The sequence below is a fragment of the Homo sapiens genome, chromosome 10, assembly GCF_000001405.40.
Source record: "Homo sapiens chromosome 10, GRCh38.p14 Primary Assembly".
Classification (NCBI taxonomy): Eukaryota; Metazoa; Chordata; class Mammalia; order Primates; family Hominidae; genus Homo; species Homo sapiens.
This window is the reverse complement of record NC_000010.11, coordinates 70,474,960-70,498,745: the sequence shown is the minus strand read 5'-3', so window position 1 is coordinate 70,498,745 and position 23,786 is coordinate 70,474,960. Positions and strand designations below refer to the sequence as shown.

Sequence of the window (23,786 nt, the reverse complement as noted above, 5' to 3'; positions counted from 1 at the left end):
CATGTTAGCCAGGCTGGTCTCAAACTCCTGACCTCAGGTGATCTACCCACCTCAGCCTCCCAAAGTGCTGGGATTACAGGCGTGAGCCACCGCGCCCAGTCTGTGCGATACCTTTCAAATATGCTCAAAAGAACAATTACAGCCTCAAAAAAAAAAAAACAAAACAGGACAGGCATAGTGGCTCATGATTGTTATCTCAACACTTTGGGAGGCTAAGGCAAGAGGACTGCTTGAAGTCAGGAGTTTGATACCAGCCTGGGCAACACAAGATCTCACCTCGATAAAAAATAATTTTAAAGATTAGCCAGGTGTGGCGCACACTCCTGTGGTCCCAGCTACTTGGGAGGCTGAAACAGGAGGATTGCTTGAGCCCAGGAACTTGAGGTTGCAGTGAGCTAGGACCATGCCACTGTGCTCGCTCTAGCTCTGGTGATAGAGCAAGACCCCATCTCTAAAGAAAAATAAAATAAATGTTAACATTTTTTAAAAGAAATGAATTCTGACACATGCTACAATACGGATGAACCTTGAGGACATTATGTTATATGTTTAAGCCAGACACAAAAGAAGAAATATTGTACGATTCCAATAATATGAGATACCTTGGTCAAATTCAGAGACAGGAAGTAGAACTGTGGGTGCCAGGGCCTGGAGGAGAGGGAGTGGGGAGTTAGTGTTTAATGGGTGCAGAGTTTCAGTTTGGAAAGAAGGAAAAGTTCTGGGGCTGGATGGTGGTGATGGGTGCACAATATGGATGCTCTTAATGACATTAAATTATACAATTTTAAACGCCCAAAATGGTAAATTTTATGTTACGTATATTTTACCATGGTAAAAGAAAATTAAGGCCTCGTTAAAAAATGTTTTTAATAGGCCAGGCACATGGCTCCCGCCTATAATCCCAGCACTTTGGGAGGCCAAGGCGGGCAGATCACGAGGTCAGGAGATCAAGACCATCCTGGTTAACATGGTAAAACGCTGTTTCTACTAAAAATACACACACACACACAAATTAGCCAGGCATGGTGGCACACGCCTGTAGTCCCAGCTACTCGGGAGGCTGAGGCAGGAGAATCGCTTGAACTCGGGAGGCAGAGGTTGCAGTGGGCCGAGATCGCGCTACTACTGCACTCCAGCCAGGGTGACAGAGCGAGACTTTGTCTCAAAAAAAAAAAAAAAAAGTTTTTAATGCCTATATTCATTTCTATCTCCAGCCCTGCAGAGCTCAGGATGGAGAGATGGAGCAGATATGGAAAGAGCTAAAGGCACCACCACCCAGAGAGTTGGCACAGTCAGGAGAGCTGTGCGAGTGGCGCTGAGGAATGACCCAAACGCTACCTCGGGTCAGGGAGTTGGCGGCCTTGTGGCCAGGCATGCGCCGGCCCCAGACAGGCTGGGTCTGAGCGAGGCAGCTGTGCACACCTGCACCCGCCAGGAGCACACGTGAGTAGAAGGTGTGTGCAGGGCTCTGCTCAGATCTTCATCCACGTATGTGCACCATCCCAGGCTCAAGATGCCAGTACAGCCCCTATGTGCTGATCGGGGTCTGTGCCTGGCCAGCACCAACATCCAACAAACAGCAAGCCCTCCTCATCTCTCCCAGCACCAACCACCACGTAGGGCAAACTGCAGTCTGGCCACTCGCTCTGGAGCCAGGGATGGGGAAGGAGGTGGGCGAGGAAGGCAGAGAAGACTGCTGCTTCGTGGGCACGCCCAGTGAAACGAGACTTGGAAATATGGCCCTCCAGAAGCCCCCCTACCCCCAACTCCAGCCTGCCCACTCTCCCACAAGGCTGCAGCTGGGAGTGGGAGGTTGTTAAGACTGGAAGGTGAAGGGAGGAAGAGGGTTAGACAGGCTAATTGAGTTATCATGTGACCCTGGGCAAGGCTCTTCCTCTCTCAGACCCTCTGGAACCTCCTCGGTCTCCCTCTTGGTGAAAGGAGGATTCTACCCCAGCACCCAGCAGTTCACACCTGGCTCTACGTCCTAGAGAAGCGGGTGTTCATGTTCATCAAAAGACACAAAAATGTTCACAGTAGCTTTATCCACAAGCACCAAAAAAGGAAACATGGCAAAGTCCCAACAATAAGAAAAAGAATTAACAAATTGTCCCTACCATGGAACCCTACTCAGCAATGAAATGAACGATACTGATACCTGCAGCGACACGGGTGACTCCCTCAGGGCTGATGTGGAATGAAAGACACCAGATAAAAACAGCTCATACTGTGTTAGTCCACTTGTACAAAGTTCAAGAATAGGCAGGACTGATCCTTGGGAAGGCGGTCAGGAGAGTGACCACCTACAGGGGTGGCAGGGTGGGGGAAAGGACCGGGAAGGGGCACCAGGGAACCTCTGGGGCACTGGAAATGTTCTACACCTTGATCTGGGTAGGGAGACACAGGTGATACAACCGTAGCAATTCATCAAGCTATGCCTTGATTCACTATCTGAAAATTAGATCTCAATTGACAAAATAAAACAGAAATAGCTAATAACTCATACTCTGCCCTCCCCTGAGGACTGCAGTGAGGCTATACTAACAGGCTGTGTGTGGAAACATGGCAAGGGTTGGGTTATGGGTAAGAACATGGGCTGGGAGTCCGAAAGACCAGAGTTCAAGTCCTGATACTCCCTAATGGGATATTTCTTCCCCTTTTTAAAATTTTCTTTGTTGGTTAACCAGGTTTTGTTGTTGTTACTGCTGTTGTTGTTGTTGTTGTTGTTGTTGTTTGAGATAGAGTCTCCCTCTGTTGCCCAGGCTGGAGTACAGTGGTACGATCATGACTCACTGCAGCCTTGACCTCCCAGACTCAAGCAATCCTCCCATCTCAACCTCCCAAGTATCTGGGGAACTACAGGCACACACTACCGCAGCTGGCTAATTTTTTTTTTTTTTTTTGTAGAGACAAGAATCTCACTATGCTGCCCAGGCTCCCCTCAAACTCCTTGGCCTCAGTGATCCTCCTGCCCCAGCCTCCCACAGTGCTGGGATTACAGGTGTGAGCCACCACACCCGGCCTGCCAGATGTTTTTTATTACAAAAGTAACTTGTACTTATTGTCACAAGTCAAAGGTCTATAGAGAAAACGCTTATGCCCTTCCCATCCCCATCCAAGCCCACCTCTTAAGCTTCCTTGTGCAACAAGCTTTTGCCCTTAACAGGACAACACAAACACCCCTCCCAGCCAATACAGGTAATTCCAACCCCGTCTGCTTAATACAAACACCCCTCCCAGCCAATACACGTAATTCCAACCCTGTCTGCTTAATGGTGGCAAAAGCCATTTCATTGCATCACTACTCATTCAACAAACAGCTGCGAAGTACTGACCCTGTCAACCAGACAGGCACAGACCCGGACCCTCATGGAGCAGATCTTCCAACAAGAGAAGGAGAGGGAGGGAGGGAGGGAGTCCACCAGGGAACACGATTATGATACACTGTATACATTGTGATGTGGGCTACCAGGGGCTGAGAGGCTGAGCTAGATGAGAAAGATAGGGAAGGAACATATTTTAGATATGACAGTCACGGAAGGCCTATGCCGACGTATGAAGACAGGAAGGCCCCGGCCGTGTGAAGACACATGCCCGGCAGCAGAGGGAACGGCCCGTGCAGATGCCCTGCGGTGGGAAGAACACAGAACTGAAAGGAGACAGCGAGTCTCCGGTTCACTGCCGCAAAATCCTTGTGCACACAGCCTTGCATCCTGATAGTTTACTTCTTTAGGACAGGTTACCAGAATTCAGGAGGCTGAGCTAAAGATGTGCACTTAAACAGCTTTCCGAGATACTGCCAAATTACCTTTCCAAAAGGTTGTTGCATTGTATACAGCAACCAATGCTGCTTCATGCTTAAGAAAGCCAGTTTTCCCACATCCTGCCTAGTTCAACACGTTACCAATCTTTTTCATTTCTGCCCATATAAAAGCTCCCTACTTCACTGTCTGCAGAATGGAGGACATGACCAGTCCCCTTCCACAGGAAGCTGTGAGGTTTAACTGAGAAATCCCTCTAACTTGCCAAACTCAGTGCCTCACACAGACCAAGCCCCCGCCCACGGGAACAGGCTCTTACCATCCTTTCCGTGCAAATGCCCAGAGGTAGCTGCCAGTTCCATAATTACCCCGCTGACAAGGGGAGCTTCTAAGGGAGTTCTGAACGCTCAAACCCACGAGGTTCACGTGACTGTTCTGGAGTCAGGGATATGGGGAAGAGGAGGTGGCAACTGTGGTTCAGCCAGAGAGCCCTGGGCAGGGAGTGGAGAGACCAGGTTCCAGTCCACCTTTCTGAGGATCATTTTCTCATCTATAAAATGGGCTCATGCATTCTCTCTTCCTGTAGCTATCCTACAAACATTTCTGGGACACCACCTATGTGTGAGGCACTGTTCTAGGAGCCAGAAATACAGAGCAAAAATCCCTGCCTCATGCACACTAGCAAGAGACACAGAAATAAACTATATAAATTAGTAAAATAGTATACAAGGAGATGCAGGGAAGAGGTGAAATTTTAGACAAGGTATACAGGGGAGGCCTCACATGAGAGTAAAGACTGAAGGAAGTGACAAGGCAGCCCTGTGGCTCTCTGGAGAAAAAGGACCTCCGGTCGCAGGGCTAGTCTATGCAAATGTCCTGTGGGGGAGGGGCGTTCCTAGGGTATTGAAAGAGCCATGAGCTAGCCGGTGCGGCTGTGACAAGGTGAGCATGAGGCTGGGTATTGGATGATGGTGTCCTGGAAGCCACAGTAAGGACACTGGCTTTTACTGTGAGGATACAGGGAGCCCCTAGGGAGCTTAGGACAGAGAAGTGCTCTGACCTGAGTTTTAAGTTCTGACAAGGTCTGCTAGCTGCTGTGTTAGAAGAGTTGGTTGGGGACAAGGGCAGAAACCAGCAGAAACATCAGGTGGCTACTCCAACAGTGCAGGTGATGCTGGAGGCGGGGCTAGCAGCAGAGGACAGGTGAGGACATGGCTCGCCGTGCATCCATGCTGAAGGTGAGGCCAGTGAACCTCCTGGCACATCTTTTCTGAAGTGTAAGAGAAAGAGAGAAACCACGGACAGCTTTGCAGTGTTTGGCCTGAACACCTAGAAGCATGGGGTTGCCACCAACTGAAACGGGCCAGACTTGGGGGAAGTGGGTGTGCAGTGAGGACTGAACAGACAGACAAGGGGGCCAACGCCACCCTCAGCTGCAATCTTAGAAGGAAGCAGCATCCCAAAAGAGGAACTGGTCCTGAGGCTCACACAGGCCATTGTGGAAAGCGACACAAAAGACAGACAGAGGAAAAGAGGATCTGGAAAGGAAGTCAATGTGGCATGTCTGACCCACTGCAGACATCACTGTCCGCAGAGCCCAGGCTGTGGCCATGGCTGGGCTGCTCACAGACCTCCTTCACGGGTGGAGAAACTAAGGAACAGTTCTACAGTAAGCACCTCTTGTTTATGTGCCAGAAACAGGCTATGAGTGGTGACTTATGCCTGTAATTCCAACATTTTGAGAGGCTGTGGCGGGAAGATCACTTGAGCCCAGGAGTTCAAGGTTGCAGTGAACTGCAATCATGCCACTGCACTCCAACCTGGGCAACACAGCAAGGCCCTGATTCAAAAAAAGGAAGCAGCAGCGGCAGCTGGAAAGGGCCGGAATGAGCCAAGGTAGGGGGGCAGGCAGCCAGTGAGCCCATTTGTTTCCTGTAGCTCGCACCGATTACCCACAAAAATGGGACTATGGAGTGAGACACAGTGTCCTCACCCACCAAGGGAGATCCCAGGATTCCCAAGAGGTGATGCAGGACCCTGGGTTGCCAAAACTGAGAACATGACTCAGTCCAGACTCCATGAATACCTGCTTAGGGATCTGTGAAATTTTAAAATTGAGATATAATTCACATACCATAAAATTCACCCTTTAAAGTACAGATGCTCCTTGATGTAATCATGGGGTTACATTCTGACAAACCCATCATAAATTATACATATCATAAGTCAAGGCCAGGTGGTGGCTCACACCTGTAATCCCAGCAGTTTGGGAGGCCAAGGCAGGTGGATCACCTGAGGTCAGGAGTTCTACACCAGCCTGGCCAACATGGTGAAACCCCATCTCTACTAAATACACAAAAATTAGCCAGGCGTGGTGGCAGGTACCTGTAATCCCAGCTACTCAGGAAGCTGAGGCAGGAGAATTGTCTGAACCCAGGAGGCAGAGACTGCAGTGAGCCAAGATTGCGCCACTGCACTCCAGCCTGGGTGACAGAGCAAGACTCTGTCTCAAAAAAAAAAAAAAAAAAAAAAAAAAGTCAAAAATGCATTTAATTCTGGTAACACAGCAGATAGCCCCTGACTTAACGATGGTTCCACTTACACTTTTTCAACTTTACAATGGTAGAGTGATACAAATCGCAGGATGTAAAGAGGTCCTTGACTTACCACGGAGTTATACGCAGATAAACCCATTGTAAAGTTGAAAAAGCATAAGTGGAACCACCATAAGTCAGGGACCGTCTGTATATGACTTAATGATTTTTAGTATATTCACAAAGTTGTGCAACCATCACCGCTGTCTAATTCCAGAACATCAAACTCAAAAAGTTAAACAAAGACTTACCATATGACCAAGCAATCCCACTGCTAAGTATATACCCAAGAGAATAAAAAACAAGTATCCAAACAAATACTTGCACATGAACATTCATAGCAGCCAAACAGCTATTCACAATAGCCAAAAGGTAGAAACAACCCAAATGCCCATCAAATAATAAACGAATAAACAAAGTGCGGCCTATCCATACAATGGAAAGTTACTCAGCCATAAAAGGGAATGGAGTACTGATATTTGCTACAACACAGATGAGCCCTGAACACTATGCTAAGTGAAAAAAGCCAGACACAGAAGGTCACATATTACATGATTCCCCTTACATGAACTATCCAAAATAGGTAAATCCAGAGACAGAATGCAGATCCATGGTTGCCAAGGCTGGGGGAGGGGAAACTGGGAGGGATTACTTAATGGATGGATGGAGTTTTCCTTTTGGGGTGATGAAAATGTTTTGGAACTGAAAATGTTTGTGGTGATGGTTGCAAAACATTGCAAATGTACTGTCACTGAACTGTACACTTTAAAAGGGTTATTTTAATGTCATTTCAAAAAGTAATGAGAGCATCCCCTGGTCATCTGAATAACCATCTCATAAGCAAGCAGTGCCCTACAATTTGAGCCTCAAGTTTGCTCCTGTGTTTACAATCCAGTTCCTTCTCCATGAAGGCCAAATGATATCATCACACACAGCACAAAGAAAGGTTGTGATTCAAATAGGAAAAAAAAAGCAGGTGGGGAGGGAGAACAGAGCCACCCCATAGCCCATGGCAGCCTGGAGGTGCCCAGTTCAAAGGCCCAGCCTCTTAGCAGTCAGGACCATGTGCATGTTGACAGCATCTGTGTGAAGTGAGTAAAGCCCATCTCTGTGCCAAATTCCTGATTCCTACAAGAAGTGGGTTTAGGCTGGGCACAGTGGCTCACGCCTGTAATCCCAGCACTTTGGGAGGCCGAGGCAAGTGGATCACGAAGTCAGGAGATCGAGACCATCCTGGCTAACATGGTGAAACCCCGTCTCTACTAAAAATACAAAAAATTAGCCAGGCGTGGTGGCAGGTGACTGTAGTCCCAGCTACTCAGGAGGCTGAGGCAGAAGAATGGTGTGAACCCAGGAGGCGGAGCTTGCAGTGAGCCCAGATCGCACCATGCCTGGGCGACAGAGCGAGACTCTGTCTCCAAAAAAAAAAGAAGTGGGTTTAAGAGCCACTACAAGCAGATTTCAATAATGCCACTATTCCATGCTTATCTTCAATCAAACAAGCCAGCTTTCCGAGTATCGGGCAATACCCCATTAAAACAGACATTCAGGGATTGCTCACACGTAGTCTAGGCTTAAATGTGAGGTCTGATTACCCCAACCCGTCCCATCAGCCCAACATTATTAGTACTTCCCTATACAACAGGCCCAAGAAACAGAGGCAGGGAACACAGGAGAGGCCCAAGGGCACAGCTCTCTACCATCAACCCAAGGCTGGCAATGTAGGTGCAGTTAACATCCTTCCAATTAAAGTAATTGTTCATTGGAAATGAGTTGGCTTTCTGGTTTTACTACTATTTCCTGTTTTTTTAATAGTTTTGTAAAAACTTTAAGTCTAAGGTGCTTATGCCTGGTCTTATACACATTTCAGTTATATTACAGTAAGAATAATGTCAATCAGCAAGTGAGGGGTTTGTTGTTGTTTTTCAAAAGGGAGTCCTGAGCTCAGGAGTTGAAGACCTGGGCAACACAAGACCTTGTCTCTATTAAAAAAACTTTTAAATTAGCCGGATGTGGTGGCACATGCCTGTGGTCCTAGCTACTCAGGAGACTGAGGAGGGAGGATCACCTGAGCCCAGGAGGTTGAGGCTTCAGTGAGCCGTGATTGCACCACTGCACCCCAGCCTGAGCAACAGAGTGAGACCTTTAAAAAAGAGAGAGAGAGAGAGGGCCAGGCGTGGTGGCTCATGCCTGTAATCCCAGCATTATGGGAGGCCGAGGCAGATGGATCACCTGAGGTCAGGAGTTCAAGACCAGCCTGGCCAACACGGTGAAACCTCATCTCTACTAAAAATACAAAAATTAGCTGGGCATGGTGGCAGGTGCCTGTGATCCCAGCTACTCGGGAAGCTTAGGCAGGAGAATCGCTTGAACCCGGGAGGCGGAGGTTGCCATCAGCCGAGATCACGCCACTATACTCCAGACTGGGCAACAGAGCGAGACTCCATCTCAAGAAAAAAAAGAGAGAGAGAGGGAGTCTACAAAAAACCCATATGTTGTATGATTTCATTTATATGAAATGTCTAGAATTAGCAAATCTATAGAGATACAGAGCATGCTAGCGGGCTGGGGGTGGGGAGTGACTACCAATGGGTACTGGGGTATCTTTTGAGGTTGATGAAAATGTTGTAAAATTAGACTGTGGTGAGACAACAGCTCTTTGAATGTACTAAAAGCTACTAAATGAGTGAATTGTACAGCATGTGAATTAGATCTCAATAGGGCTGTGAATTGGAAGTCCACGTATTACCCACATTTGAGCAGCACTGAGCTGCAGAAAGGGAGACATCCACAAACCCACCTATGCAGAGCTCCCTGCCAGGTCCTCCCCTCCCCCTACAGGATTCCTGAGCCCAGGATGAGACCCCAAGTCACAAGACAACCCCTTCCTGGGTAAGCAAGTGGCTGCCCTGGAACCACCACACAGGATTCCTATCTCCCAGAACCCATGTCTTACAATTAAGGCACTACTTTGTACTGTTAAGTTAGGGAAAACTTAAAAACAATGAAAACAACCAACTTTAGGATGCAGGGGATGGGGTTCATCTACACATCGATGGCAGTGTCAAGGAAAGCAGCATGACATAAGACTCAGAGCACCTGGGACCCCACTGGCTGCAGTCTCATTGGTTGGGGTTGGGGTGGGGCCAGGAGGGTGAAAATCTGAGCCCAGGCAGCCCCTTCCTCAGAGGCCACAGGCATCCCATCCTCCACCCACGTAGGCTGGGCAAGATAGCTATTGGGAGGCCCCTACAGGCTGCCTAAAGAGACTTTGGCAAGGGGCAACTCCCCAAGGGTCCCTCTTCTGTCAACCCAACGAACTGCCCTCTCCTGGGCCTATTCCTTCCAGTGACACTTCAGAGAGACGGGAAGAAGCCCCCACCAGCGGCAGCCAAGTCGGGGTCATTGGTGAAGCGGCAGAAGGACACATCCGCCCAGAACCCCCAGCAGTAGGAGGATACATCCACCCAGACCCCCAGCAGCAGGAGGATACATCCACCCAGACCCCCAGCAGCAGAATACATCCACCCAGACCCCAGGGACGGGTCACGACAGAGGCTGTTTTGGACAGACTGATCCCCTTTGATCCAATGCTACTCTTCTCCAGAACCTGCTCTAAATTAACCACCTCCAGGAAGACTTCTTCCCATCTCTCCCAAAGCCTCGCCAAGCCCCAGCTCAGGGCATGTGCTCAGAACTCCCATGGCAGTGGTGGGGTCCCTCTGCATGATACATGGCCGGATGAAAGCAGGCCCCACAGCCATGGACCGAGTTTGAGCTCATTTACACCCCAAAAATAAAAAACCACACAAATTCATGTAGAGGTACAGAAAAAAGACCAAAGGATACTCAGCACACTGCTGACAGTGTTACCTACGGGGACCAGAGAGAGGGGAAGGAGGGGAAAGGGGACTTTGACATTTTACTTTCTATGAAGCTACTACTTGAATATTTTGTGAAGATTATTTTAGGCCAGGCATGGTGGCTTACGCCTGTAATCCCAGCACTTTAGGAGGCTGAGGCAGGCAGATCACTTCAGTCCAGGAGTTCAAGACCAGCCTGGGCAACAGGGCAAAACCCCGTCTCTACTAAAAATACAAAAATTAGCCGGGCATGGTGGTGCACACCTGTAGTCCCAACTACTCAGAAGGCTGAGGTGGGAGGATCATTTGAGGCCAGAAGTTAAGGCTGCAGTGAGTCGACCCTGAGCCACTTCACTGCAGCCTGGGCAACAGGAAAGAGGCCCTTCTTAAAAAAAAAAAGAGAGAGAAATTTTAAACTATTTTTAACATATCCCACACATTGGAATACTACTCACCAATAAAAAAGGAATGGAACTGATTAAATCATCCAATAACAGAGATGAATCTCAAAAAACATCATGTTGAGTAAAGAAGCCAGTCACTAAAAGCTACCTGTTATATGAGTCCACGTATGTGAAAAATCCAGAAAAAACAAAATCATAGTGACAGAAAGTAGATGAGTGGGCCTGGGCCCAAGGTGGGAGTGGTGACCGGCTACAAGGGAGCATAGGGCCCTTCTAGGTGATGGAAAGTGTTGTCAGACTTGTCTAGGAGTTGGCTGCATGCCCAGGACTTTTACCGACATTCACCAAAGTGCACACTTCACGCAGGTGTATTTTATGGTGCACATATCTCAACAAAACTGTTTTTTGTTTTTTTGTTTTTTTTTTTAAAGAAAAAAAGTACTGTGGTGGAGAAGGGAATGGTGAGTAACTGCTTAATAGGTGGAGTTTTCCTTTAGGGTGATAAAATGTTTTAGAATGTGATAGAAGTGGTGGTTGTACAACATTGTGACTATACTAAATGCCTCTAAATTGTGGGCTTTAAAATGGTTTATTTTATTTAAATGGATTTCACCTCAGTTTAAAAAAAAAACATTGAAGATAGGCAGGGGGAAATGTTCATGCCCATTCTGCAGGTGAGAAAATTGGGCACAGCCAGGTGCGGTGGTTCACGCCTGTAATCCCAGCACTTTGGGAGGCCAAGACGGGCGGATCACAAGGTCAGGAGATCGAGACCATCCTGGCTAACACAGTGAAACCCCGTCTCTACTAAAAACACAAAAAATTAGCCGGGCATGGTGGCGGGCGCCTGTAGTCCCAGCTACTCGGGAGGATGAGGCAGGAGAATGACGTGAACCTGGGAGGTGGAGCTTGCAGTGAGCCAAGATTATGCCACTGCACTCCAGCCTGGGCAACAGAGCGAGACTCTGTCTCAAAAAAAAAAAAAAAAAAAAATTGGGCTCAGAGGGACAGTCAAATGCCAGCCCAGGGCTTATTTACCTGATGCCTTAGGGCCCAGCTCAGAGCCCCCTGGAGCAGAGACTACTCCACACCTCCCCAGAGGGCTCCCCAAAGGGCAACTCTGGGGCTCGTCTCTAGGGAGGGCCCTTCTCTTTGGGCATTCAGAAATCAGATTCCCACCAGGCCTTGGGCTGAGCCAGCAGGGCAACCCTGCAGGAGACTCCAGAAGTCCTTGTGCTCCAGCAGACAGGGCTGCCTCGGGAGGAAGGGAGGGAGCACACCGGCAGATGATGGTCAAGGCAAAGCTAAACCACCACTCAGATCAGGCTGATGAGGTTTTTTGTTTTGTTTTGTTTTGTTTTTTGAGACAGAATCTCACTCTGTTGCCCAGGCTGGGGTGCAGTGGCGCAACCTCAGCTCATTGCAACCTCTGCCTCCTGGGTTCAAGCTATTCTCCAGTCTCAGCCTCCTGAGTAGCTGGGACTACAGGCACCCACCACCACACCTGGCTAATTTTTGTATTATTAGTAGAGATGGGGTTTCACCATGTTGGCCAGGCTGGTCTTGAACTCCTGACCTCAAGTGATCCGCCTGCCCCGGCCTCCCAAAGTGCTGGGATTACAGGTGTGAGCCACAGTGCCCAACTGGCTAATGAAGTCTTCTAGGCCCTGTCAACCAGGGTGCCGGGGCCCTGATAGAGGGCTGTCCCTGGGAAGTGCAGGGGTTGGCACCAACCTCAGGGGTCCCAGGATGAAGGGTTCAGTCACTACAGGGCAGACGTCAAAGCAGAAATGTGGTGGGTGGTGATGGCGCCAACCCAGGCAACAACAAGTGGGAGCAGAAGCAGGTGCAGATCAAGAACCTGGAGGGCAAGTTTTTGGTCACCATGTAGTCCTCAGAGAAAAAAAAAAAAAAGATATTGACTTTGATACCTCAACAGTGGTTGAAGAACTGGCCATTGAAGAGAACCTGCCTCCTGATTTTCAAAGTATATGACAGGAAAGAAACTTCCTCCTGGAGGAATACCTGGCAGTAACCTCTCAAATCCTAAACAATCGGCATAACTTGCTGGAATGAAGCCAAGAAAAATTAAATAAGATGATGCCCCAAGAACAACAGCTTGCCTCATAAAGGGAGCACGAAGATGTTCTTGGATAACTCTGCCATGAGAAAACATCTGCACAGCCACAGTCCCAGAGTCCTCGTCTGTGAAGAACACGGCAAAGCTCTTGTTGAGAGCTCAAGACCAGAACAACACCAACCAGTCTGTGCTGGAGAGAAGCTCTTTCATGGCACATGGTGGGTCTGTGGGAAATGCTTTTTATTGGACTTCAATTTGTGCACGTGTGTGTGAATCCATACCAGAGACAGGACCCATGTGTGCCCCTTCCGTGGTTGTAATAAAAGAAGTTTGTGGCTGGGCACGGCGGCTCACATCTGTAATCCCAGCACTTTGGGGGGCCGGGGCGGGTGAATCACTTGAGGTCAGGAGTTCAAGACCAGCCTGGCCAACATGGTGAAACCCCATCTCTACTAAAAATGCAAAAATCAGCCGGGTGTGGTGGTGCACACTTGTAGTCCCAGCTACTTGGGAGGCTGAGGCAGGAGAATCGCTTGAACCCAGGAGGCAGAGGTTGCAGTGAGCTGAGATCACACCATTGTACTCCAGCCTGGGCAACAAGAGTGAAACTCTGTCTCAAAAACAAGAAAAAAAAAAAAAAGAAGTTTGCTCAGACAACTAACCTGAAATCTTACATCTTAACACACACCAAGGACAAAAACAATCAGTGAACAGAAGAGAAAGAAGCCCCTTCTCCACCATGGAAGTGCCTTCCAGAAGTATAACAGGGAATAAACATACCTCTCCTTTGTATATTATTTCTAGGAAGAATTTTAAAGATGAATCCTACATACTTAAGGGAGATGTTTTGAAAAATAGTAAAAAAAAAAAATTTAACTTTAATAATAAGATAACATTGCTAAGATGTTCGTACTCTGTAATCTTGTTTCAAAAACATGGTGGTTTTGTGAAGTATGATCCCAACAGAAGGACAATTCATGAATTTCACATGAAAAGACAGTTCTTTGTACAACACTGCTAAAAATGGGATTTCTTTCCATATTCTTAAAAATATGAAGCTCACCTATTGTTTACAATTTGTTTAACTTTGTATTTTCCAAGTGTGCATATTGGAATGGGGGATGCTTAGCAATACTATGTGTGCATTTTCTGAAGGTTGATAACTTTGCTTGCAGTAAATTTTCTTTAAAAGAATGGGCAGTTGCAGCTGGGCGCAGTGGCTCATGCCTGTAATCCCAGCACTTTGGGAGGCCGAGGCGGGCAGATCACCTGATGTCAGGAGTTTGAAACCAACCTGGTCAAAATGGCAAAACCCCATCTATACTAAAAACACAAAAATTAGCCAGGCATAGTGGCACACACCTGTAGTCCCAGCTACTAAGGAGGCTGAGGCAGGAGAATCGCTTGAACCCGGGAGGCGGAGCTTGAGTGAGCTGAGATCACGCCACTGCACTCCAGCCTGGGTAACAGACCGAGACTCTGTCTCAAAAAAAAAAACAAACAATAAAATAAAATAAAAGAATGGGCAGTTACATGTACACTTCAAAAGTATTTTCCTGTTTAAAAAAAGTATATGGGTTTTGTTTGCTATCTTAATTTTGGTTGTATTCTTTGATGTAAACACATTTTCTATCATTGCATCATTCAGCTATATTGAATCATGTAGTATCAAATATTAGACGTGATTTAACAGTGTTAATCAATTTAAATCCATTTTAGTCTTTTTTTAGAAAAATATTGGGGTCGAGCACGGTGGCTCATGCCTGTAATCCCAACACTTTGGGAGGCCAAGGCAGGCAGATCACCTGAGATCAGGAGTTTGAGACCAGCCTGGCCAATGCGGTGAAACCCCATCTCTATTAAAAATACAAAAATTAGCTGGGCGTAGTGGTGGGCACCTGTAATCCCAGCTACTCAGGAGGCTGAGGCACGAGAATTGCTTGAACCTGGGACGCAGAGGTTGCAGTGAGCTAAGAATGCGCCACTGCACTCCAGCCTGGGCAACAGAGTGAGACTCCATCTCAAAAAAAACAAACAAACAAAAAATATATTGCCAGATGCTGATGTTCAGTGTACTTTCTTTGCCTGTTCAATCATGGAAGGTGGCACTCAGTTGCAGAATGTGTTGTACCTTTCAGCACCTGATGTATACATCCCGTGTAACAGAAAGGGCAACAATAAAACAGTGATCCTAAAAAAAGCCGGGGACACATCCATGGGCCACTCTGTGACCAGCAGGAAAGGGGTTAACTCCTTCAGGAGATTCTCCATTCCAGGAAAAGGAAAAGGGGAGGAGAAGTCCCTTCTGTGCTTTCCAAACAGAATCTTCGAAAAATGTCCCAGCGTCCCAGGCCTCCATTCTGGGAAGGCCAGACAGAGGCCGGCACAGCCCACAGAGAGGAAGGGCCTGGGGCTCAGCAGGATGCAGAAGCTGGCAGGGTCCCAGGTCATCTCAGGGCACCCACCCCTCTCCCCTCCCATGGGCCCCAGCCCAGCCTGTTGGCCGTTTCCCAGGGTACCCACAGCCCTCACAGCACCACATCCTCTCTCCTTGGGGAATTTCTGAAAGCCCCAGCTCCCTGGGAGCCCAAAGCATTGGCAGTGACACACCCAGTTCCCAAAGATGTTCTCTACTGCCTTCCATGGGTGTGCAGATGACCCAGACACCCCACCTGCCTCTCTCATCAGTGCCCCAGCTTCAGCCCAGGCAGGGGCACCCCTTAAAGCCAAAGTCAGCCCACATGCCAGTTATGGGAAATACACAAAACGCTTCACAAGGGCTGTCACACCTCTGCCACGCTGCTCTTTCTGCTGGGGAAGCCTTGCCCTCCTCCTTTGCAAACTCCTGGCCATCCCTCAAAGCCCACGTGAAGTATCACACACACCCCAGGCCAGCCATTCCCTCCCTCAGGCTCCAACCATAACTAGCACAGACCCCATCACAGAACCAGACATGGTGTCTGCATGTACCTCACTCACCTCCTGGCAGGGACAGAGTTTAATCTACCTTCGGAGCCCCTGCACCTCATACTGAACCCAGGGCCAAGAAAGCTCAGGAACCCACATCAAGATGCCACGCTGGTCCCTTCCCACCAACTGGTCCTGTGCAAGCATCCTGGCCTCTGCTGAGAGAATAACATCGTGGTAATAACATAAGCACCTAATGTTTACTGAGTACTTCCTAGGAGCCAGACAGCCTCGGAGGCTCTCTGCGATTACCTCCTTTCATCCTTGTGACATTCTCATAAGGGAGTTGCTATCCTTAACCCTGTTACACAAGGGACTTGAGGCACAGAGAGGTTAAGTTTCTTGCCCTGGGCCACATGGCTAATGAGGGAGGGAGCAGAAATTCAGACCCTGGTAGTTTCTTTCCAGAGCCAGTGTTCTTAATCACAACAGGTCTATTTGCAGGTAGGAAGATGGTCGAGGCAGATGTGTCAGGAAAAGCCCTGAGTGGAAAAGGAACTCAGGGATTATAAAGGCCAGTGCTTCCAGACCTTCTCTTTCCCCGGGTCCCAGCCAAAGGCCTCGGAAGACAAACAGAGCCTCCTCCCAGACTAAGCCTGCTGCTCCCAGGCTCAATCCTGTGCTGAGCACCAGTTACAGGAAACATAAAAAGTCCATCTGCAAGTGCCTTGGCCCAAGACAGGGGCAGCACATGGCTGGGCTGCCCTCTGGGAAACGAAAGCCATGATTTGGGACTATTCTTAGCAAACACTGGCTCCCCTCCCAGAGGCCCAGCAGTCAGCAGGCCCAAGCTTCCATACGCCCGCCCAGCCTGCCATTTCCTGACCCCGTGTATGGAGGTCCCACAGGGCTAAGGAGGGACTAGTGGGCACCGACTGAGGACAAAGCCCTCCAGCTTTCACAGGAGAGGTGCCTGGCCCACCCAGCCTGCTCCAGACCTCACCCAGAGGCCCAGGGCCATGCACCTGGCTGCTGAGGAAGCCCTGCAGAGTCCTGGCCACAGGGGATGGCTCATAATCAAAGGCCCCCACCGCCACATCAACTGAGCACTCACTCCATGCCATGCACTGGGCCACATGCTTTGCACTGATTTTCTCCCACTGAACCCACAAGGAGGTAGAGGTTACTGACCCCACTCTAAAGATGAGGAAACCAATACATTAATTGACTTGCTGGAGGTTGCATGGTGCATTAGTATCAAAGCATATCTAGAATCTGGGCTGTCTCTCAGGTGCCAGGTTGGGCAGAGGAGACCTGAGCATAGCCAGGTGGGGGACCCCTTCCCTGTGCAAGCCCACGGCTTAGCAGAGAAGGAGCCCGCCCCAGAGGGCAGTGGCTCTCATCACAGACGCAGCTACATGTGTGCTCTCTCTCTCACCTGGGGGATCCCTGTCAAAGACCCGCAGGCTTGGGTTCAGAAGGAGAATCCCCAGACAGTTCCTCTCCTATTCTGGTAGGAAAGGAACAGTTGGAGCACCCTACCCAGGCCACACAGCCTCACTTCAGGAAGCCTCTGGAGATCCAGGGAAGATGAGAATCAAAATTCAAAGAGCACCTGCTGGCACTTAAGGCACAAACACAGCCTTGTAATGCAGAGGTGGAGAGGCCAAATGACTCTGAGTAAAACACAGGAGACTGAGCTTTTTGGGGTCCTCAAACCCCAAAGTGAGAGTCTAGAAATAAGCTCCACCACAGAGCACCTGTACCATCACCACCCCAAACAGGACAACTTCCGGGCACTGTGCCACGCAGGGAAACAGTGATAACCAGGCAATGCACGCCTCGGCCTACCTCTCAGAACCCACCTGTGTCTGGTTCCTGGCCTCTGCTGTCCGCTGGCTCTGGCAAGCATATGTGTCTGTGCCCCCCAGGAGCTCACAGCCAACTCCATTCTGCCCAGGCACTTGAGCGGCTTCCCTGTGGCTCCGAGTCTTTTGTCTGGGAATGTCGGTTCCCATCCCCGTCTGTGCTCTGCTGGGTCTACCTATATGTCTGTCCACTTACATGTCTGCCTCCCATGTGGGGAGATTCAGATCCCAGCAATGGTGTATTTCTATGTACGTGTCTGCAGCCCATACGTGGCCCACGCTGATGGGTTCATGTATGTCTGTCCCCGCACATGTCTGTGTCCCTGGGTTGTTTGCTCACCCCCACCATCCTCCTGTGTCTGTCCTCAAGTATATATGTATCCAGCTCCTCTACGTCTCTGCCCACACAGATGTAAACCTGAGCACACACACGCACTCACGTCTCTGCCCACACGGGGCATCCCCCACAGGTGCCTGGGTAACCCAGGTCTGTGCACCACCTGTTTGGAGGCAGGCAAGTGTGTTCACACAAGTTCTCACAGTGCCAGCCAAGGGCTTCGGGTGAGCTCAGCAACTCCCACTCCCAGAACTGCACCCAAGGCCACGAGCATGAGCACACTGCCACCTCCACGAAGTGCTCCAGAAAAACAGAAACCTGCCAGGGACAATGAGGGAGGGGGCAGGGCCCCAGATACAGCAGAGCCTCACAGAAGTGAGGTCAGAGCTGTGCCAGGAACCACCCACCTCAAGCCACCTGGGCCCTACTGTGCCCACCCCCAACACTGGCCAGGAAAGGGAGGGGGGTGCATGCACCACCTGGGGTCTGTCTGCACTCATAGGAAACTGGCCCAGTGCCTGCCAGCCTCCCGACCTACCCCAACCCCCCGCGACAGAGGCTCTTCAGAAAGGAAGTGAGGACTTCCTCCTGCTTACCTCTGAACCTCCTACAAGGCTGGCTCTAGACCCCAAACCCCAGGAGCCACAGGGCAACTAGGAGTGTCCTGTGCTCAGCCCAAGCCAAGAAACCAAATGGGTTATTTCAGAAATCCACCAGCAGGAAACAAACAAACCTGGGAGTGGGTGGGGATGAGTGCAGGAGAACCTCCTCAGCGCCCCTGCTGCTCCCTGCCCTTGGAGCAAGGTAATAAGGAAGGGCGGGCATGGAGCTGGAACATTTCAGCACATTTGCTTGCTTGCATGGAACTGGATCTCTGCTGCCCTGGCACTCTCGCAGCCTACATTACTCACATAGCAATTAATGGTGTGTAGCCTCTTGGCTTTCCACTATTACCAGTTCAGGACTGGTATTGAAACCCTGTATCGGGGAACTTTGTGTGTTTATGTCCTGTCTTGCCCCCAGGGGCTGAGCCTCCTGAGGACAGAATCCTCCAAATCCTCCTCCATCCACACATTCCAGGGGCACGGCCCAGTGCCCTTCCTGGCATTTAAGAGGTGCTCGGCCACTGGGTTCAGGTTACTCTACCCAGAAGCCAAGGAGTTGGTTCCTGGGCCTCTGGCTGGGAGAGTAGAGATGCCCAGAAGATTCCCTGGGCCATGAAGCTTTACTCCCATCTCTGACAACCCAAGAGAAAGGGCTCCAACCATCCCGGCCACCTTCAGGAGCCGGGTCTCCCATAGGCCACTCTCTCTCTGACAGGTTACTGCCCCTTCAGGAAAACCCTCTGAAACTGAAAAACGTACTCTCCTTGGAGACCCGGGCCTACAGAGGAAGAGGGCCAGACTGGGCCAAGAATCAAAGCCTGTGCCCGCTGAGACTTCTGGACTCGTCCTGGGTCTGAGGGCCTCACGCCCCCTAGAGATGAGTCCCAGGACCCCATCTCGGTCATGAAGCGGCTTCCCTCTCCCCAATCTCCCCCTAACTTCGCGGGAAACCCTAGCTCCTGGCCATGCTCCCAGGTCTGGCAATGAAAAGTGGAATTGTCACCAGGCCATGCCTACACCAAACCCAGGGAACTCGGGAGAGGGGGTAGCCCAGGGTCCAACACACACAACCACCCAGCAACTGCTCCCTGTGAGTCCCTCTTGCCTCCCAGGGACCAATCCTGAGCGGGTGTGGGGTGAAGGCCCAGGACCTCACCTCTCCAAAGGATGGGGAGTTGGTGTCTGGAGCAGCCTCGGGCTGGGGGGTGCCCGGGGGATTCCAGATTTGCCCTCCCCTCGCCAGCCCCAGGGCAGGACACTTCGGTACCTGCCAGCCCGCGGCTCCGGGGGGCATCCGTGCTCCTGCGGCCGGCGTGCTGCGCCCGAACTGCGGGCGCCGAGTCAGGCAGCGACGGGGCGCGCCCGGCGCGCGCTCTGGCTCCAGCTCGCTCCTCCCAACTTCGCCAGCCCATGCGGGGGCAGAGGTGGCTCCGGAGGTGGGCAGGCCAGGCGGACCCGGCGAGGCCACGCGAGAGGGAGCCCGTGCTCACCGGCGACGGGACCTGCGCGCCCCGGCCCGTGCGCGCCGCGCTGCTCCCCAGCGCCCCGCTACCCAACGCCGAGGGGCGGACCCGACCCGGCCGCCAATCACCGCGCCCGCCCCCGCCCGGACCGCGAGTCCCGGCCCCACCGCGAGGGGCGGGGGGCTCAGATTTAAAGACACACTCAGCCCAGCCGCAGCCCCCGGGCGGGAGGAACGCGGGCGCCACGTTCCCCGGCTGCGCTTCCTCCCTCCGCCCGCCCACCCTCCGCGAGGAGGAAAAGTTTGGGGCGGGGGAGACTGCCCGGGAAGCCAGTTCCTCTTCCCTCGTCGCTAGTGCGGCTCCTTCTGGAAGACACCCAAACCCGACATCCAGCCTCCTGGCTGCGAGAGGCAGCAGCGCTCTGGGCGCCACACCCCGTCCCGGACGCCGGCTACCCGCGACACCCGCTGGCCCGGCTTCCCTCGCCCCCCTCTGCTTTACAGCCAGGCCGAGCCTCGGCGGGACCGAGCCCAGCATCCGGGCTCCGGGCCGGCCTCGCTGTGCAGTGCGGCCGGAGCTGGATGATGGTGCGCTCTGCACTTTTGCCTCCCACGTGTCGAAGGGGAGCCCCTAAACAGCAGACGGTCCCCCCAAGCAGGGGCTTCTCCCACGCCCCGGGGTCCTAAGGAAACGCGCCCCTCGGCCCCCAGAGGTGAGAGGGGAACAGCAGAGCAGAGCTTTGGATGGAGAGGGGTCCCTCCGCCCCCACCCATCATGCGGCTCCAGGCAGTGACCCGCACCATAGGCCTGCCCCCCCCACCACTCCTCACCCCACACGCGCGGACTAGCACTAGGCGGCAGCCAGCCCGGCCCACTCCGACGGCCCCGCACGCCCCCGCGAGCACGTGGGTGAACGCACCCACGTGCGTGCGTTCACTCTTCGCTGTGCTTCCTCGCGGAGAGATAGGCTTTGTTGTGGTTGGTGAGTCACTTCCTCCCTCTCGCTGCTCCACACTCGGGAAATCCTTTTTTCTCACCTGTTACCACCTGCCTCACCCCCATTCAGGACTGGAGCTGGATTTCGGCGAGCTGGGGTTGCCCCAGGATGCAGGCAGTGTAGGCCCCACCTCTGTCAGGCTGGAGAGCGCTGGGCTGGGAGAGGGGAACACATTCCCCATGACCCCTAAGAATAACTGAAGACAAGAGAAATCACTCATTGTGGTGGTCTCACCATGTCCCTAGCACCTAGCTCTTAAGTGCCTCGCGAAGTTATAAGGTCGGTACTTTTCTGATCCCTATTTTAACAAATGAGGAAACAGGCCCAGGGAAGACTTGTCCTCAGCTCCATACCTGCTCCTGCGCCACCCAAGGTGTGTGAAAAGGACAGCAGCAGAGAAAATCCCATAGTGGCCTTGGGAAACAGACCTGACCTTCAGAGTTCAGCAGAGCTAGGCTCAAAGTGGCTCACAATTTACTGGCTGTGTGGTCTGGGAAAAGTGACGTAAGTTCTCAGATTCCCAACTTCTACATCCATAAGATGGCTTCATCCTCCTTCAAAGAGGTATTTGAGAAGCCAGTGAGCTGGGCAAGTAATGTCCAGGCATCGTGTGTGGCACACTTTAGGACTCCATCCTGGGCCACAGTTTCCTTCCTTCTTCCTCTTGCCACAGCCCCATATCCCATCCCACCAGCTGTCAGACTCCCCAGCTGAAGCCTGCCATCCTGAGGATGCATTCCAGGATAATGTCCTCTTCTAGGCCAGGACTAAGGTAGGAGCAACATGTGTGTGAGCAGGTGCAAAATATACATTTACATACATGTGCATGTGTATGCACACATGTATACACATACATGCACATATATGTATACAAATATATACATAAACATGCATACCTATAGGGATGCATGCACACATATATACATACAGAAACATAGCACATACACATATGCACATAATACACACATACAAATACACACACTTTGCTTCCCCTCACCCTCCCTGCCCAGCAGATGCTGGGATCCACGGCGGTGTGCCTCTCTAGCTCCCAGAGAACAAAAGCTATGTCCTACCTGTGCCTGACCTGTCTTTTGGCCCACAGCACAGTGCCTGGCACGTCTCCATACATTCATTTGTACTCACCACACACACAGTAGGTGTTCTTGTTGAACCAAGCAGAAAAGCCCAGGACAAAGATGTTCTCAGGACAGCCTGCAGTCACAACCCTTCTGGATCTAACAGTTAGCCTCAGGGTTCAGCTGGTAGGTAGGGGGCTGAGGGCTTGGAGGTTCCTCAGGGTCAGGCCACAGACTGCATCCAAACCACAGTGCCCAGCCTCACCAGCCCACCACCAGCCCCCCAGAGGGCCTGCCAAGTCCCTACTCAGAATAGCGAGTCCTGCAGCCCTGGCTGTCTGCTGGCTATGGGGCTAGAAAAGTCCCAACCACAAGAAAGATTCAGTCAGATCTGCCCCACCGTGGGCCTGGGAGGGGAACAAGGACTGAATGTTGAAGGAGAGAAGGCCACAGAGCAGCCCTGGGTACACCCAAGAGAAGGCATCCTGCTCTCTCCCCAGCCCCAGGCAGAACGAAAGAATCAGTCGAGCCAGCTCTCAGTTGAGCCCATTTGAGCCTCTCAAACTGCAGCAGAAGATTCCTGAGAAATCTGGAAGCTCAGAGCAGAAGCCCAAAATCCCCTGAGAAAAGATTCATGGGTCCCAGAACAGGATCTCAGGAAGGAGAGAGGTCGGGACTGACCCCCACTCACCCAGCACTCCACCAGCACTGCCAGCACCCACATCCCCCACACACAAACGTCCAAGACACCATGTTATCATGCTTGTATTGCTCGTGCGTGAACTCATATTTGCAGGGATCCATGTTTGTGCAAGTGTCTAGTGGGAGTGAGTGTGGCTTTATAAGTGAGCATGTGTGTATGTGTGTGTACGTGTAGCACACACACAAAGCACCTGCAACCGTCCAAAACCAGACAAGCTGCTGCTGCAAAGAATATGAGTAACCTGTTACTCACGCCCCGACAGACTCGCCTGTGGCCATCCACTGCCCCATCAGCCCAAGCAAGGTGCTGGTGCTCTTGGGAGAGAGCTCCCAAGTTCAGTTCCTGGGCAAAAACATGAGCTGTGGGAACCCCAGATTCCCTCCAGGGAACACTCAAGCCAAAAATGATTTCCTGACAGGCACAAATGACTCGCTGGAAAGCAGAGGAGCTGGGTTCAAACCAGCAAAGATGAATCTTGATCAAAGATGGGAAACAGGCCCTTGCTGCTCTTCTCTACTCCCCACTCTTCCCTGACATCTGCCACAGCTGAGGGACACTGGACCTGAGGAGTGGACAACATCAGGACATGGGCTGGCCTTGCTCCTTGTGACCACCTTACTGCCAAGAACAGGGATCATGTGCACCCTTCAGGGTGGGAGTCTTGTGGCCTGTGATTTCGCCCTGAGCCCAGTGGTCTCTGAGCCTCAGGCAAACTCATCCGTGACGCCTGAATCCCAACACAGACGGATCCCCTGTCTGCCCTGGCCATCCGCCCTTCCAGGCCCACTGCCCCATCTCCAGCATCCAGCACTCCCACTTTTTCAGCCCCCTTCTGTGTGCAATCCTAAAGACAAGGGCTTTAAGCAGGGCAGACCTGGGCTTGGATCTAGCCACAGCAACTTTACCACCATGTGACCCCTATGCTACAAGTTACCACATTGCTCCAAGTCTCCTCATTTGTAAAATGATGCAAAGAGCAGTTCTTGCTTCCTGGGAAAGTCTGGAGGATAAAAGGTGCTTGGCACTCAGCAAGTACTTACTGATGACTGCTGTTCCTGTCATTACTGTTGCCACCCAAGCTCACACCATGACCTAGCCCTGAACCTGCCAGGGCAGAGGGGTGTTTGG

General features: G+C 51.3%; 1 protein-coding gene and 1 pseudogene across 10 annotated transcripts in view, besides 11 other annotated features; one reads left to right on the top strand and one right to left on the bottom strand.

Moving 5' to 3' along the window:
* The window catches only part of PALD1 (phosphatase domain containing paladin 1), a 109,966-nt gene that overhangs the window by 69,705 nt on the left and 16,475 nt on the right, over window positions 1-23,786 (bottom strand). For 3 of the 10 annotated variants that reach the window (XR_945675.3, NM_014431.3, XM_047425059.1), the window contains exon 1: window positions 19,687-19,979. The exons of 2 other annotated variants lie outside the window; for them this stretch is intronic. The gene's annotated coding sequence lies outside the window, so the exon portion shown is untranslated. Of the gene's footprint in view, window positions 1-4,080; window positions 5,118-15,681; window positions 19,549-19,575; window positions 19,980-23,786 lie in introns of those variants that run through there. 5 more of the 10 variants (XM_011539637.3, XM_047425060.1, XM_047425056.1 and 2 more) reach the window with 4 other exon arrangements.
* Window positions 3,647-3,706: an enhancer, noted in NCBI's record as "active region_3508". NCBI's record gives its function as "activates an Ori minimal core promoter by ATAC-STARR-seq in GM12878 lymphoblastoid cells {active_cell/tissue: GM12878}" and the evidence as "EXISTENCE:reporter gene assay evidence [ECO:0000049][PMID:35858748]".
* Window positions 4,467-5,127: an enhancer, noted in NCBI's record as "H3K27ac-H3K4me1 hESC enhancer chr10:72253375-72254035 (GRCh37/hg19 assembly coordinates)". NCBI's record gives its function as "activates a minimal SCP1, AML or CMV promoter by ChIP-STARR-seq in naive H9 embryonic stem cells {active_cell/tissue: H9 hESC(naive)}" and the evidence as "EXISTENCE:reporter gene assay evidence [ECO:0000049][PMID:30033119]".
* Window positions 4,477-4,526: an enhancer, noted in NCBI's record as "active region_3507". NCBI's record gives its function as "activates an Ori minimal core promoter by ATAC-STARR-seq in GM12878 lymphoblastoid cells {active_cell/tissue: GM12878}" and the evidence as "EXISTENCE:reporter gene assay evidence [ECO:0000049][PMID:35858748]".
* Window positions 8,424-8,523: a silencer, noted in NCBI's record as "silent region_2450". NCBI's record gives its function as "represses an Ori minimal core promoter by ATAC-STARR-seq in GM12878 lymphoblastoid cells {active_cell/tissue: GM12878}" and the evidence as "EXISTENCE:reporter gene assay evidence [ECO:0000049][PMID:35858748]".
* On the top strand, window positions 12,417-13,035 carry YY1P1 (YY1 transcription factor pseudogene 1; annotated as a pseudogene).
* Window positions 15,324-15,871: an enhancer, noted in NCBI's record as "H3K4me1 hESC enhancer chr10:72242631-72243178 (GRCh37/hg19 assembly coordinates)". NCBI's record gives its function as "activates a minimal SCP1, AML or CMV promoter by ChIP-STARR-seq in naive H9 embryonic stem cells {active_cell/tissue: H9 hESC(naive)}" and the evidence as "EXISTENCE:reporter gene assay evidence [ECO:0000049][PMID:30033119]".
* Window positions 17,365-18,006: an enhancer, noted in NCBI's record as "H3K4me1 hESC enhancer chr10:72240496-72241137 (GRCh37/hg19 assembly coordinates)". NCBI's record gives its function as "activates a minimal SCP1, AML or CMV promoter by ChIP-STARR-seq in primed H9 embryonic stem cells {active_cell/tissue: H9 hESC(primed)}" and the evidence as "EXISTENCE:reporter gene assay evidence [ECO:0000049][PMID:30033119]".
* Window positions 18,007-18,649: an enhancer, noted in NCBI's record as "H3K4me1 hESC enhancer chr10:72239853-72240495 (GRCh37/hg19 assembly coordinates)". NCBI's record gives its function as "activates a minimal SCP1, AML or CMV promoter by ChIP-STARR-seq in primed H9 embryonic stem cells {active_cell/tissue: H9 hESC(primed)}" and the evidence as "EXISTENCE:reporter gene assay evidence [ECO:0000049][PMID:30033119]".
* Window positions 18,184-18,363: an enhancer, noted in NCBI's record as "active region_3506". NCBI's record gives its function as "activates an Ori minimal core promoter by ATAC-STARR-seq in GM12878 lymphoblastoid cells {active_cell/tissue: GM12878}" and the evidence as "EXISTENCE:reporter gene assay evidence [ECO:0000049][PMID:35858748]".
* Window positions 19,644-20,093: a silencer, noted in NCBI's record as "silent region_2449". NCBI's record gives its function as "represses an Ori minimal core promoter by ATAC-STARR-seq in GM12878 lymphoblastoid cells {active_cell/tissue: GM12878}" and the evidence as "EXISTENCE:reporter gene assay evidence [ECO:0000049][PMID:35858748]".
* Window positions 20,294-20,363: a silencer, noted in NCBI's record as "silent region_2448". NCBI's record gives its function as "represses an Ori minimal core promoter by ATAC-STARR-seq in GM12878 lymphoblastoid cells {active_cell/tissue: GM12878}" and the evidence as "EXISTENCE:reporter gene assay evidence [ECO:0000049][PMID:35858748]".
* Window positions 22,194-22,273: an enhancer, noted in NCBI's record as "active region_3505". NCBI's record gives its function as "activates an Ori minimal core promoter by ATAC-STARR-seq in GM12878 lymphoblastoid cells {active_cell/tissue: GM12878}" and the evidence as "EXISTENCE:reporter gene assay evidence [ECO:0000049][PMID:35858748]".